This window comes from Homo sapiens, chromosome 9, assembly GCF_000001405.40.
Source record: "Homo sapiens chromosome 9, GRCh38.p14 Primary Assembly".
NCBI classification, from domain to species: Eukaryota; Metazoa; Chordata; class Mammalia; order Primates; family Hominidae; genus Homo; species Homo sapiens.
The window spans coordinates 8310162-8326024 of NC_000009.12; the positions used below are offsets into that span (position 1 = coordinate 8310162).

The 15863-nt window shown below is 35.0% G+C and overlaps 1 protein-coding gene across 55 annotated transcripts in view; it reads right to left on the reverse strand.

Moving 5' to 3' along the window:
* The window catches only part of PTPRD (protein tyrosine phosphatase receptor type D), a 2298757-nt gene continuing 2286978 nt past the window's right edge, over positions 4085-15863 (reverse strand). For all 55 annotated transcript variants that reach the window (NM_002839.4, XM_017014961.3, XM_006716827.5 and 52 more), the window contains 2 exons: positions 9670-9805; positions 4085-7781 (listed from right to left, as the gene is read on the reverse strand). In NM_002839.4, coding sequence (NP_002830.1) covers positions 7713-7781; positions 9670-9805 — 205 coding nt within the window. In that variant the 3' untranslated portion in view covers positions 4085-7712. The remainder of the gene's footprint in view (positions 7782-9669; positions 9806-15863) is intronic.

Here is a 15863-nt window from a genome sequence, read left to right on the forward strand (position 1 = left end):
CATATAAAAATAGGAAAAATGCACAAAAGTAAAGGTACAGCTCCTTTACTTTTTTTTACTGAAAAGTAGTTTTACTACTAAAAAGCAAACACTTTTGAAATGAAATCTAATTAAAAAAAAAATTACTAGCACAACGGAAATGTGCTTTTTGTTCTCCTAATCAGTACCTACCTTTCTGCTCCCCAAAACTACCAGGTATACAGTATACATTTTTTGTGTATGGCATTTTTTGCTCAATGTTGTGTTTGCCAAACTCATTCACTGCTGTATAGTGTTTCATTGTGTCATTATACCACCATGTATTTATCCATTTCATTGTTGACAGAAACTTATGTTAGAGTTCTTGGCTCTATGAGTAATGTTGAAATGGACAAACTATTATTTATGTCTCTCATTCACACGTGCATGCATTTCTACTTGTTACATAGCTACAATTGGTATAGCTACTGAATAAAATGTGCTTATATCCTACTTTAATATGTAATACTCAATAATATTTCAGAGTGCTTGTAAAATTGCACTCTAGCAAGCATTGTGTGACAGATGTATTACTCCACATTCTCACCAACACTTGGTATTGCTAGTCTTTTTAATATTAGCTGTTCTTGTGAGCATGTAGCTGTGCCACATTGTAGCTTTAATTTGCATTTCCTTGATTACTTGTAAAACTGAGTACTTCTTCACATATTTTTGAGCAATTTAGCTATCCTTTTTCTGTGAAGTATCTTTTTAGGCCTAATGCCTAATTACATTGGATATTCTGGTTTTTTTTAATTGATTTATGTGACATGGAACCTTTGTTATAATGGTTAATATTGGTAAGAGCTGAAGCACTATACTCCTTTCAAGTTTCTGATGTGAATGATTTGTCCATTGCTTTTGTTTAAATCATTTTGCTAGGGTTTATCAATTTCATTGCCTTTCAAATAATCAACTTTTAACTTTAATCTTTGTTGCTATCCTCTATTGAATAATTGTTTGCAATTAATTTTTTTCTCTTGTCTTTTTTATTTCCTTCTTTCTTGAGGGGCAATTAGCTGTTGTTTTTTTAATTTGTAAAAAATAAGATCATTAGCTTTTAGCCTTTCTCATTTTCTAACATATGCATTGAAAGCTATAAATTTCACTGTAAAACCCATAAATTTTGATATAATTTCATAATTTTATCATAATTTATTATTTCCATTGGGATTTTTTTTCTGTGAGCTATTGGCTTTTAAAAGTTATTTCTTAATTACTACATAGAGGGCTTTTCTAACTATCTTTGTTATTGATGTCTAGTTTAACTATTACTGTGGCCAAAGAACATATTTCACATTATTACAACTCTTCAAATATGTTGAGACTTGCTTTATGGTCCAATTTCTAGTTAATTTAGGTAAATGTTTTAAATGCTTTTATAAATAATGTATATTTTTAAGTTATTGAATTTAGTCGTCTACATAGCTCACTTAGGTAAATTTTGTTAATCAGCTTGTTCATATCTTTTATACCCTTACTGAAGTTTTATTTGGTTTGTTCATTTTATACGTTAATAAGAGAAGCGTTTAAAATCTCCCATGATAGCTGTAGATATGTATGTAACTCCTTTAAGTTCTATTTTTGTTGTCTACATTTTGAGGCCATGTTATGAGGTTCATACACACATATAATTGTCACATCTTCCTGGTGCATTGAAGTTTTTCATCGGAAACTGACCCTTTTATTATTTGGTAATGGTATGGCTGATATTAATATAACTCAGTATAGCTTTCTTTTGGCTATGTTTCCATGGTATATCTTTTGCATCCTTTTACTTTGAGTAGCCTCATGTTCTTACAAGCATTATATAGCTAGGCTAAAAATCTGCATCTTTAAGTTGAATATACTTTATTTACATTTGAAGTAATTACTGTTTTAAATTTTAAATCTCCCATATTACTTTCTATTTGCCCCCTCCTGTCCTAGATTCTCTTTTCTCTTCATTCTTGCCTTGTAAATTGATTTTTTAAAAATTATTCTATCTTCTCACATATTTCAAAGCACCCACAATTTGCTATTTTGAAATACTTATTGTAAAAATTTTAGAAAATGTACGAAGTGCAGCAACAAAATTTTATCACACAGTATCATTTAATAATTATATTTCTTTCCAGTCACTTCTTTGCTTTAAGATGTGTACATAATTTTATATCCCTTCTTGAAAAGTATATTATAATAATTTTTAATGTAGCTATCTTTTTTCCAAAACACTATTTAATAGTGAAATGCTAATGCATTATAAATGGCATTATGGTGTGTATGTAAAATAATATATGTAAAATTACATGTAATATATACATTACATATATGTATTGTATATATAACTGTAAAACATTTTTACACATACACAATTTTACATATTTTAAGTCTTTTTGTATTATTAAACACAAGATTTCACAGGTCTTTGCCTATTTCCTCAGAATTTGCAGAAATTATTTTAAACATTATAAAGTTAAATATTTCTCAGATTCATAATTTTACCAATTATTGTAATTAAAATTCTCATAAAGTTTAATTATGGATACAATTAAGTGAAAGTCCCAAGCTTATAGTTATTATTAACTATTAATTCTGTGTGTGTGTGTACATGTATACAATCAGATCATATTTGTTATTCTTGGTATTCTATCAGATATCTGTTTAAAGTTATGAATCACAAGGAACAAAATATCAAATCTGATACACTTCGAAGTCTCTGTCCTGTTTTTACACAATCAATCAATAGGGTGGTCATATCTGCAAAAGTAAAAGCCAATTAGGTGAAGTGGAAAAAGAGGAGTCTGGTTGTTCATTCAATAACAGGATTTCCAAAATAATGTTTGGATAATGGAATTGTTTTATTCTGTCATCATTTCTAACAAGTAGTTTTAACATTACCAAGCATACCTGTGCTTTGCCTTATGTTAACAAATTAGGCTGATCAGCAGCCAGTTGTTGGTCCCACAATATTCACTGGGGTTTGGCAAAGGGACAGCCACCTTAAACCCTTCTGGATTTGATAACTCAATGCACACATTCTCGCCTTCTGTCCATACTTGTGTTCCTGAGATCATCGCTTACCCCAAGACAGGTTCAATTAGGATCAAGAAGAATTCACTCCATTCTAGGACTTTTGGTTGTGTTGTTGGGGGAAGTAAACTCTTCCACTTGTCTGCTCTGTGGTGTTATGATCCCAAAGCTTCCAGGGACTACAAAAAGGGAGTTTAAAATTGAAACTGTGAAAGTAGAATCAGGCTGGATGATGGGAAGAGACATCACGTCCTGAAGGCATCACTGAGCCCTGAATCAAGTTATGCCTGAAGATGATGTATTCCTACTCTTCTAGTAAATGAGTCCATTCCTAATCTTTTAGTACATGAGTCAGTAAACGCCTTTCTTTTCCTGTAGACCAATTTGAGTCAGACTTTCTGTCACTCACAATTGAAAGTCCTAACTTCAAGGATCCTACACTTTCCTTCATAGCACTGGTCCCATGTGATGTTACTATTACTTCAGTGCCAACCTCTCTCAGTAGACTGTAGTCTGTATGCAAACAGCAGCAGTATCTCATTTGTTCAGAGCTGCATTTCCAATACCTAGAACAATTCTGACCCATTATTGGTACTTGATCATATTGAATTACTGAATAAATAACGCAAACCAAGTATTTTCTTAGCCATGTTCCCAAAGGTATGAATAAATTAACACTATGGAGCTATTTTTATGTGCATGAAAGTTGTTTCGAGATGAAAATACATACATACATATAGATGTATATATACAGTTGTGCACTTAAATTTCTATATAGTAATCTTCCACAGAATCAAAGATTGCCTGTGATCTCTGATATGAATGAAAGCAATGCCTCTTTGTTCTGTGAACTTGGAAAAACTATTTCTCTGAGTCTCTGTTTGCTTACCAGTGAAAAGTGCTTACCTCAAGGTAGATATTTGTAAACAGTAGTCTCTCGGTAAACAGAATTCTTACTAGTACAAGGAACTAACTAGATAACCAGAAGAGAAGAGAGAACAAATAGTCAGTTCAAAACCAAAGTGTTTGCATGGACAAAAGCAAAGGCCAGGGCTGCATAACACTGACATTTTTATTAGAATTCATTTGTAACAAATGGAACTTGTGTCAGCAAAGAACTGATTTTCATACAGACTTCTTTCGCCACCAATGTAACGAAGTAAGAAAATAAAAAGCACGCCTTTCATTCTGTAAAACATTTACGCGTACTACTAATTAGAGGTAATTGTATTTTTTAACAAGCCATTTTACAAGTTATTTGTTTTAATTTTTCAGTCTATGCATCCAAAACGAGAGCAAAGAACACAACTGTTATTATCTTTGTAAAGACACTCCAAGCTGGGATGGCAAAGCCACATAACGGATGGATAGAATGGATCTGTAGCCTTCTGATCTCTGCTGGAGTATCAGGGCACCCATAAACCCAAAAGGAACCAAAACCCAAAAAGAAAAACAAAAAGGGAATTAAAAATAAAAGGACTTAAAGCAAAACCGAAAATAAACAGGAAAGAAAAAAAATACGTGCATTACTGCAGACTTTTTTCCCTTCCTGTTTCTATGTTGTGTTATTTACATACACACAAATGAATTTCCGAAGCAGTTTCTTACAGATGGGTTCAAGTAATATCATTATTGGGTGTAGAATCAATAGGGCAGTGCATAGTACAAAGGTATAGAAAGTGCAAAGTTCCCTAGAGGCCCTTCCCTCCCCTGGCTGTCCTCGCCGTTTTCTAACCATGCAAATCATTTTTAAAAAAGAGCTAAAATAAAGTTCTGTACAAATCACTTTTTATATATTTTGATTTTTTTTACCATTGTAACTAATTACAAAATTATACATAACTACACGTACATAGGTAAATAATAGCACCGTACTGGTTATGATGATGAAAATAACTGGAAACTTGAAAGCTTGTGGTAATGGCAGATAAAGATGGTTCACCTGGGAAATTAAAACTTGAATGGTTGTACAGAAAAGCACAGAGTGGAATGCACATCAATGACAGTAAGGGAGTTAGTTCTAGGAACAGCTCCTGAACAGTAAGATTCCCGCAATAGTCTCCGCCTCGTTCGTCTATGGTATGCATCCCATTCATTTTCTTCTTCTGATTATTGTCATCTTTCCCTTTGCCAAATGGGCAGTTATTGTTTCAGGGAGAGAAGCTGCTCATTGGCCAATCATTCTGGTGTGCAGTGCTCCATCGGATTCTACATGTCCAACAAGGCATGTCTGGATGATGCAATGTCTGTCTGACCCCCTTTGTTTAACTAAAAGAAAATTATAGCACTGAGTAATCTGGCACTTGGATAAATCTCCAAAAAGATACAAACTAAAAGAAAATAATGATAACAGACCCACATAGTGCACATTCTTCTCTGGTTCTGATGTAGGTTAGAGAGTCTCATTCTGAGGTAGCCTTCTAGATACTTTTTTTTAGTATTATATATATTTTCTTTTTTTTCTTTTTCTTTGTTTTTTACAAAAGTGCTCAAATACAATGCTTGCAAATGTTTGGTCTCTTGGATTTCACTCTGCTAGCAATGGGAAAATGTGGAAAACAAAAATCCTTCCATGCAGAACATCCATGAAGCTAAAATTAAACCAAAGTAGTATACTCATACCAAAACTCTTTAAGAGTTCCTTGGGTATTTTGAGGATTATTTAAAATCATGTAATATGTGGCAAACTTATGCCATCATCCATGGCTTCCTATAGAAATTCTGTTGGAAGAATTGGGGGTAAGATACATATATATATATAGTTTATTTCCCCTTTTAGAAAAATCCTAATGGAATATCAAATATATTCCAAAGTTGCCAATGATATTTGTTACTAAAATAAGTTTGGTGCAGTTACTGCATGTTCCAGAGCGGATTTGGAAGGGAATATAAATAAAACAAGTAGCTTTTTCTGATGTTGATGATTGATTATAAAAGGAAGAAGGGCCCTGATTATCCAAGTGCTTTGGGCTGGTACAATCACTAACATCCCCGACTTGGCTGAAAACTAGGAATGCATATTATTCAAAGAGTTTTTGTACATGTGGTAAACAGATAATGCTTTAATAGAAAGTAACAGATACGAACAGTGAATGGAAATACGAACCAAAAGCTAAAAAGAAATGCTATTAAAATAGGCATCAATTATAAGGCACTCTAAATGCAAAACTAAAACCAAAACGAAACAAAGTACAGCACTTCCCAGGAATGCTGTATGCCACAAAATGTTTCTGACTGAACAGAGTAACATGAATTTGGCTTTGCCCCTGTTACATATCATAAATGCAAATTTCATAGCACATACTATAGACAATATACGATTGAATACACTTTTTTTAAACAACTCGATAGCTGATATATTACAACATTCTCCCCTCCTAAAGGGATATGCACTGACCTTTCCCACATGCACACCTCTTAGCTATTTAATAATAATTTTTATTGCACTAGAGTGTTAGAAATATTGAACTTTGTTGGAAGCCTGACTAACAAACAAACAAAACAATTTGTGGATGTGATTGATTGGTTAGGTGGGGGTAGATTAGGTAGGAAATCAGGGGGTGAGGTTTGACAATCAATCACTGATGTGCATTCCTCATTTCCCTTTAAAGAAATACCAATATGTCAAAAAATTAAGAATAAATGGAAAGAGATGTTTACAATAGCTTTTCTACGTTTAAAAAAACTAAATCATGGAAGAACTGACTGACTGATAACTGTATCTATTTTTTGTGTGGACACACTGTCTATATATACATAGACACCCTTATAAAATATGGATATATATGTATATATGTTAGCAGCAACTTTATACTTTGCGCCTCCCTGTTGATTCCAAAAACAAAACAAAATAATAATTATCTTTGATTATTTGAAGAGAATGGGTACTTTCTCACCAATCAAAACTGAAGTGTAAAATTAATATATCTGACGAGACTGATACTGTAGATTGAGTTTTGCACAAAAATGTGCAAATTTTCAAATGATTTGATATTTCTACAGCAAGATATTACAGATAACAGTTCTACAGCTTAAAAAAACCTACGATTTGGAAATAAAAAAATGAAGAGTTATGTAACTTTTTTAAAATTCACTTTATCGAATGATACATTTTGTTAAAAAAAAGTTTACACAGTTAGAAATGAAGCACAGGTCAGCAGTATCTTTACAATACTAAAAAACTAAATCAAGGACTTTCTTTTTAAACATTCCCTCCCCTTTCCCCCTAAAATGTTATTATGAGCAGTATGGTGGGAAGGGGCGATGTCAAAGCAGAGTCCGTTTCATTGTGAGAAGCCACACCAGCACATATCTTGTGCTGAACTGCAGCATTCTGGCAATTTCTCCTTGCACCTTTCAAGCAATCCTGAATAAGATGGTGGTTCTTTGCTGTGATTTCTTCTTCCCTTGATTTTGAATCCTTGAGGTATCTGTAAATAAAATCCTTCAGATGCCTCATCAGTCAGGATTCTCTTCATTATTTTTCAGGTTAGATTATTAAACTGTGAATTCTTGGTCCACCTGGAATAATTTGTTTTTAATTTGTTTTGTGTGTAATAGTCCCACTAAGTAGTTGTTAGCTAGAAGTTAAGAAGGACTTCTCAAGTGCCCTGTATGGCTCAGAAGAGACTCCATGGATATTGAAGGGCCTGTAGTAAAAATCCAGAATGGGTCAGGGGTTTCTACGTTGCATAGTGGTCAAAGCTGCCCAGGTACTCTAGTGCGGCACGATAGGAAAACTGATATTGATCCTGCAGGAGACAATGAATGGGGAGAAGCAAAAGAAGGGACCATGAGCATATTTTAATAGAAAAATAAAAATCAATATTGCATAACAAAATAACATCTATATAGGGGCAAAATCACTACTTTCGTCAACTGGTCTAATCCAATGACCAATTGTTTATAGTGAACAAAGAAAAAGCCACATGGGGTGTTGATTAACTTTGCCAATCAATTTGACTAAAACGATCTCCCAATTCCAAGCAGTGGCAGGTCGAGTGAACATTACCTTCCCAGACAAGTGTTTTCCAAGTAGTATCAAACCATTACCACCAATTGAACACATAAACTTCTTACATGCCTTATAAGCAGATAATGATGAAAATCATCCTTTACAATTATCTGCTTATTCAAGATAACTAATTCTCAGTTTAAATATTTAAGAGAGGCTGATACAGACACAAACTGTCCTGAGAAAAATCTGAATTTACTTATCTTCTGAACTACTGCCAACAGAATTTGAATTTTTAAAAAATTATGTTTGGACAGTAGAGCTTGCAGTGAGAATCACTCACAGTCATTTCAGCTACCCTTTGGCTGTCTCTCTCACTTACATATGATGTTCATATACAGCCAGAAGGTAGCTGGTGCGGCACACCAGGCACACAAATCCATTTACACAGGGCACTGGACTTCCAAGCTTTCCATCCCTGAAAATGGCTTCACAGGACTGGCTGCCCACATCAAAAAATACCTGTAAATTCAGCCCAATTCTGTGTGATTGCTAGTTGTCTGTTTTAGAGAGGCACACACTAAAAAAAAGCAGTATGAAGCATGGCCTTTTTCAGACAACGAAGAACACTATCATATTGGAATAAATTGAAGCATTGTTGGAGAGATGGAAAAATCACAATTTACAGCTCTCTATAGGGATGAGGAAAAGGATTTTCCCCATAAAAGAAACCTATTTTCAGTGGCCAATCGGGCTGAAAGTAGACAGATAGTTTCTATTTTGCTTAAATGTGCATTTTTCTGTAATAAAAATGGTTGGTAATGCAAAATAAATGGTGTTTACTTTCCTATCTTGTCACAGTAAGTTGCTTGGCTGAGTGTTAAGGCTTTTTAAATGTCCAATTTCCCTCTGTAACCCCTAAGACCCATTAAGTTTGTCAAGCTGGCATAATGTTTTGACTATTGCAAGCCAAACACTTGCACTACTTTGAAATCCGTCTGAAAGATACTGTGGATGATGAATTGAGGAACACATATAAGTTGTATAATTTGGTGGCCTTTTGCAGAACATAAACTCTATCAGTAATATTATCTTTAGAAATGAATGCTCAATAGACCAGACTGGCTATATCATAAACTCTTATTATTACGAGAAATATCCAAATTTCCATATTAATTATTGGAATAGGAAATGAGGGGCTAATATTAATATCTCTAGGCTTATCCAGAATCAAAATGTTTTGAATGGCCATTGTTAAGACATGAAATATAGAAGAGCTGATACCTCTGTAGGCATACAGAGGGAGAATGGAGAAGTTAAATGGGCTGAGATTATATTATGTACTAAATATTATGCTTTCTATATATTTATATATTTATATTATAGGACTATGAATATAACGAATTTTATGAAATTGCCATTTTATTGGTCAAAAATGGTCCAGTAGTAAAATTTAACATAGCTCAATCTAACATATAATCTCACATAATTTCTATAGCAACACTAAGACACTAATAATCTCATCCCATTTAAAAAGGGGGAAAATGAGGTTCAAAATTATTAAACAGTTTGATGCTTTCCCCACAGTATTTTGTGTCTGGTGTTGAGAGAGTATGGAGTCCGGGAGGTCCAGGCTAGCAAAACGTAGGCTCTTGAGATGCGAAAAATGCAATGGATTTTCTCACCTCTGTCTGTACCATAGCTGGTCGTTGTGTTCTTAACATTTTGACAGTCTGGAAGATATCTACAACTCCTTCATATCTCATTCTTTCCAAAACAATGCTTAGCGTTATGAAGACTCCAGTTCTTCCAACGCCCGCGCTGCCACAATAACAAAGGCGATGTTACTGGGTGAGATGTTCACAGTCTTGGCCACATTTGCTTGGGTGTGGACATACTTCTACCAGCTTCCACACTCCGTATCTCTTTATAGCCATATTCAGGAAAACATGGTATCACATTCATCAAATGATTACTCTTGGGATACTGAGTTGTAACAGCATGTGATAATGAGGATGAAGTAATTAGGAGTAAGTCTAATAAAAGGTCTTTTCAATGGGGATTTATACCATTTTAGAAAGACCAAGGAAACATAACAAATGAAAAGAAAGGGTAAATAACATATAGGTTTATAATATTCATGGAGATTCTGAAATTTACAACCTGCCTACTTAATATTTTTAAAGTATGAAATAATTCAGAATAAGGTGAAGTGAATTTGGCATCTTCAACTTTTCTATCACACTGTTCACATTTTGCAGTTACTTAAAATACATATGCGATGCCCATAACCTAAATGTATTTGCCTATAACTAGTCAAATGTTTACACTGGTTTTATTATGAGAAAAGAGATGGTATAACAGGGTATATACGTGATTTTCACTTAGTCTTCAGGAGGGTTTATGACTATCCTGTAAGTGTACGTACACATGAAGTAAATACTATGTTGTTTTCTTATTTCTTGAGACTTAGAACTTTCAACAGATTCTCACAGGGGTCTCTAATCTTAAAAAAAAATGGTTAAGAGCCATTGATCTCTGAACTTAGCTACCATTTTTACATGATCAGCAACTAAAACCACATTAGAAAGGTTTTGAGTTTCTCTCTGTTGTCTTCATTGTTTTAAGATAACTCCAGAATCTTCACGGTAGCAAGAAAGAAAATTAATTCATAGCTCTTGTGCACTTAAGGAGGAAAGCAATGGGAAGTTCAGATAATGAGGGAAACAGTGAATAATCTGAAAAATCCCTGCATTTTTGGATCCTAATTAAACAGCATGTGTAACACTTGGGCACGGGCTGTAGAAAATAGATGGATTCATTTACTGGAGGGTGTAGCTGACAGGCATATATAAATAGTGTGTCCCTTTATAAATGGGGTTTCTACAGTCTAAACAGAAATGTTAAGTGAGGTTTGAAAATCCAAGCGGAGTCAGTCTTTAAGAAGTGATTGAAGATGTCTAGCGGCAGTGAAACCTTCTGTTAAGATGAAGCAGATGACCTTGAAGGTCCCTTTTAACCTTGAAAGTCTCTCTTAGTTGTGAGAAACTGAGATTTATTATCTTTTTGTTGAATGATCTAGGTACTCCAGAGTCTATCTTACCTTGCCAGAGTCTATCTTACCTTGATTTGATAGCTCGAATGCAACAAAAACATTGGGTTACTTTCTACTAAGTATTTTCAAAAAAAGAACAGACATTGGACTCACAACTTTTCAATTTACTGGTTTTATCATCTTACTTTAATAAGTTATAAATAAGAAAAGTGGTATTTTCAGAACATTCCTAAATAAGAGGAAATATATAGAAGTCTTCTTTGTGTGTGTGTGTGTGTGTGTGTGTGTATATATATATATATATATATATATATATATATATATATAAAAGGTATATGCATCGCAATTCCTTTAGCATTATACTAAAGGAATATTAAAATTATTTTATGACAAAAACAATGAGAACAGGCACACATAACACATTTATGTACCTATACATATAAGGATGCCTAAAGTTAAGAAGATGTATTAAATTAAAGATACTCTTTTCCTTAGAGATTATTTTAGAAAAGTTTAAATTAGCATTTGGGCAAATTATGAGTAAAGATAAAAGAAATATCCAGGTAATTCAATCCCAATATATACCATCTACTTTGTCTGAATATGGGTATACACTGTTTTATTGTGCTATACTTTATGGAGTTTTGCAGATACTGTGTTTTTCACAAATTGAACGTCTGTGTCAATCTTGCATTGAACAAGTATATTGGTGCCATTTTTCCACCAGCACATACTTGGTTTGTGTCTCTGTGTAGCAGTTTGGTAATTCTTGTAATATTTCAAATTTTTTCATACTATTACATCTGTTAAAGTGATCTGTGATCACTGATCTTTGATGTTACTACTGCAATTGGTTTGGGGTGCCATGAACCATGACCATAAGACAACAAACACTTAATTGACAAATGTGTGTGTTATGACTGCTTCACCAACCAGCAGTTTCCCCATCTGTCTTTTTCTCCTCAGGCCTCCCTATTCCTTGAGACACAACAATATCGAAATTAGGCCAGTTAATAACCCTACAATGGCCTCTAAGTGTTCAAGTGAAAGGGAGAGTCGCGTGTATCTAACTAACTTTAAATCACAAACTAGAAATAATTAAGCTTAAAGCCCAGATGTGCTGAAAGCTAGGCCTCTCGCACCAAACAGCCTAGTTGTGAATGCAAAGTTCCTGAAGGAAATTAAAAGTGCTACTCCAGTGAACACATGAATGATAAGGAAGTAGAACAGCTTTACTGCTGATATGAAGAAAGTTTTAAAGGCCTGCATAGAAGATCAAATCATTTACAACATTCCCTTAAATCAAAGCCTAGGCCAGAGCAAGGCCCTAACTCTCTTCAATTCTATGAAGGCTGGGAGGTGAGGAGGCTGCAGAAGAAAAGTTTGAAGTTAGCACAGGTTGGCTTATGAGGTTTAAGGAAGGAAGCCAACCCCATAACATAAAAGTGCAAGGTGAAGCAATAAGTGCTGTTACAGAAGCTGTAGCAAGTTATCCAGAATATCTAGCTAAGATCATTGATGAAGGTGGCTACATTAAAAAAGAGATCTTCAATGTAGACAAACATCATTATATTGGAAGAAGTTGTCATCTAAGACTTTGATAGCTACAGAGGAGGAGTCAATGCCTGACTTCAGAACTTCAAAGAACAGGCTGACTCTCTTGTTAGGGGCTCATGCAGCTGGTGACATTAAGCTGAAGCCAAAGCTCATTTACCATTTGAAAATCCTAGGGCTCTCAAGAATTACACTAAATATACTCAAGTGAAAGGAAGAGTTATACATCTCTCATTTTAAGTCAAAAGCTTGAAAAAATTAAGTTTTAGTAAGGAAGGCACGTTGAACATCAAGACAGGCTGAAAGCTCGACCTCTTGTACCAAATAGCCCAGTTCTATAAATGGAACAAGAAAGAATGGATGATAAGACATCCGTTTATAGCATGGTTGACTGAACATTTTAAGGCCACTCTTGAGACCTACTGCTTAGAATAAAAGATTCTTTTCAAGATAATACTGCTCATTGACAACATACCTTGTTACCCAAGAGCTCTGGTGGAATGTACAAGGAGATTAATGTTCTCATGCCTGTGAACACAATATTGATTCTGCAGCCCAATGGATCAAGGAGGAATTTCAACTTTAAAGTTTTGTTATTTAAGAACTACATTTTATAAGGCTATACATTCTATAGATAGATAGTGATTTCTCTGATAGGTCTGGGCAAAGTAAATTGAAAATTTACTGGAAGTAATTCACCATTCTATATGCCATTAAAAACATTTGTGATTCACGGGAGAAGATCAAATTATCAACAGTAACAGGAGTTTGGAAGAAGTTGATTCCAATCTTCATGGATGACTTTGAGGGGTTCAAGACTTCAGTAGAGGAAGAAATTGCAAAAATGGTGGAATAGCAAGATAACTAGAACTAGAAGTGGAGCCAGGAGATGGGACTGAACTGCTGCAATCTCATGATAAAACCTGAATACATGAGGAGTTGTTCCTTACGGATGAGCAAAGAAAGTGGCTTCTCAAGATGGAATATACTCATGAAGATGCTGTGAACACTGTGGAAATGACAACAAAGGATTTAGAATAGTACATAAACAAAGTTAATAGAAAAGCAGCAGGGTTGCAGAGGAATGACTCCAATTTTGAAAGAAGTTCTACTGTGAGTAAAATGCTATCAAACAACATTGCATGGTGCAGAGAAGGCTCTTGACTTTGTCACTTAGTCACTTGATGTGGCAAACTTCATTATTATTTTCTTTTAAGAAATTGCTACAGCCACCTCACCCTTCAGAAACCACCGCCCATCGATTAGTCAGCAGCCATCAAAATAGAGGCAAGACCCTCAACCAGCAAAAAGATTAAAACTTACCGGAGGCTCAGATGATGATTAGCATTTTTTTTTTTTTTTAAACTTTAAGTTCTGGGGTAGATGAGAAAAAAGTGCTGGTTTGTTACATAGGTATAAATGCACCAGGGTGGTTTACTGCACCCATCAACCCATCATCTACATTAGGTATATCTCCTGATGCTATCCCTCCCCCAGGCCCCCACCCCCTGGCAGGCCCTGGTGTGTGATGTTCGCTTCCCTGCGTCCACGTGTTCTCACTATTCCACTCCCACTTATAAGTGAGAATATGCGGCGTTTGATTTTCTGTTCCTGTGTTAGTTTGCTGAGAATGATGGTTTCCAGCTTCATCCATGTCCCTGCAAAGGACATGAACTCATCCTTTTTTATGGCTGCACAGTATTCCATGGTGTATATGTGCCGCATTTTCTTTATCCAATCTATCATTGATGGACATTTGGGTTGCTTACAAGTCTTTGCTATTGTGAATAGTGCCACAATAAACATATGTGTGCATGTGTCTTTGTAGTAGAATGATTTACAATCCTTTGGGTATACACTCAGTAATGGGATTGCTGGGTCAAATGGTATTTCTGGTTCTAGATCCTTGAGGAATCACCAAACTGTCTTCCACACTGGTTTAACTAATTTACACACCCACCAACAGTGTAAAAGCATTCCTATTTCTCCACATCCTCCCCAGCATCTGTTGTTTCCTGACTTTTTAATGATCGACATTCTAATTGGTGTAAGATGGTATCTCATTGTGGTTTTGATTTGCATTTCTCTAATGACCAGTGATAGTGAGCATTTTTTCATATGTTTGTCTGCCGCATCAGTGTCTTCTTTTGAGAAGTGTCTGTTCATATCCTTCGCCCACTTTTTGATGAGGTTGTTGTTTTCCTGTAAATTTGTTTAAGTTCTTTGTAGATTCTGGATATTAGCCCTTTGTCAGATGGATAGATAGCAAAAATTTCCTCCCATTCTGTAGGTTGCCTGTTCACTCTGATGGTAGTTTTTTATGCTGTGCAGAAGCTCTTTAGTTTAATTAGATCCCATTTGCCACTTTTGGCTTTAGTTGCCATTGCTTTTGGTGTTTTAGTCCTGAAGTCTTTGTGTATACCTATGTCCTGAATGGTATTGCCTAGGTTTTCTTCTAGGGGTTTTCATCATTTTACATCTTAGGTTTAAGTCTTTAATCCATCTTGAGTTAATTTTTGTATAAGGAAGGGATCCAGTCTCAGTTTTCTGCATATGGCCAGCCAGTTTTCCCAACACCATTTATTAAATAGAGGAGCCTTTCCCCATTCTTGTTTTCCCTCAGGTTTGTCAAAGATAAGATGTTTGCAGATGTGTGGTGTTACTTCTGAGGCCTCTGTTCTGTTCCATTGGTCTATATCTCTGTTTTGGTACCAGTACCATGCTGTTTTGGTTACTGTAGCCTTGTTTGAAGTCAGGTAGCATGATCTCTCAAGCCTTGTTCTTTTTGCTTAGGATTGTCTTGGCTTTGTGGGCTCTTTTTTGGTTCCATGTCAAATTTAAAGTAGTTTTTTCCCATTCTGTGAAGAAAGTCATTGGTAGCTTGATGGGGATGGCATTGAATCTATAAATTACCTTGGGCAGTATGGCCATTTTCACGATATTGATTCTTCCTATCCGTGAGCATGGAATGTTCTTCCATTTGTGTCCTCTCTTGTTTCATTGAACAGTGGTTTGTAGTTCTCCTTGAAGAGGTCCTTCACATTCCTTGTTAAGTTGGACTCCTAGGTATTTTATCTTTTTTGAAGCAATTGTGAATGGGAGTTCACTCGTGATTTGGCTATTATTGGTGTATAGGAATGCTTGTGATTTTTGCACATTGATTTTGTATCCTGAGACTTTCCTGAAGTTGCTTATCAGCTTAAGGAGATTTTGGGATGAGATGATGGGGTTTTCTAAATATACAATGTTGTCATGTGCAAACAGAGACAA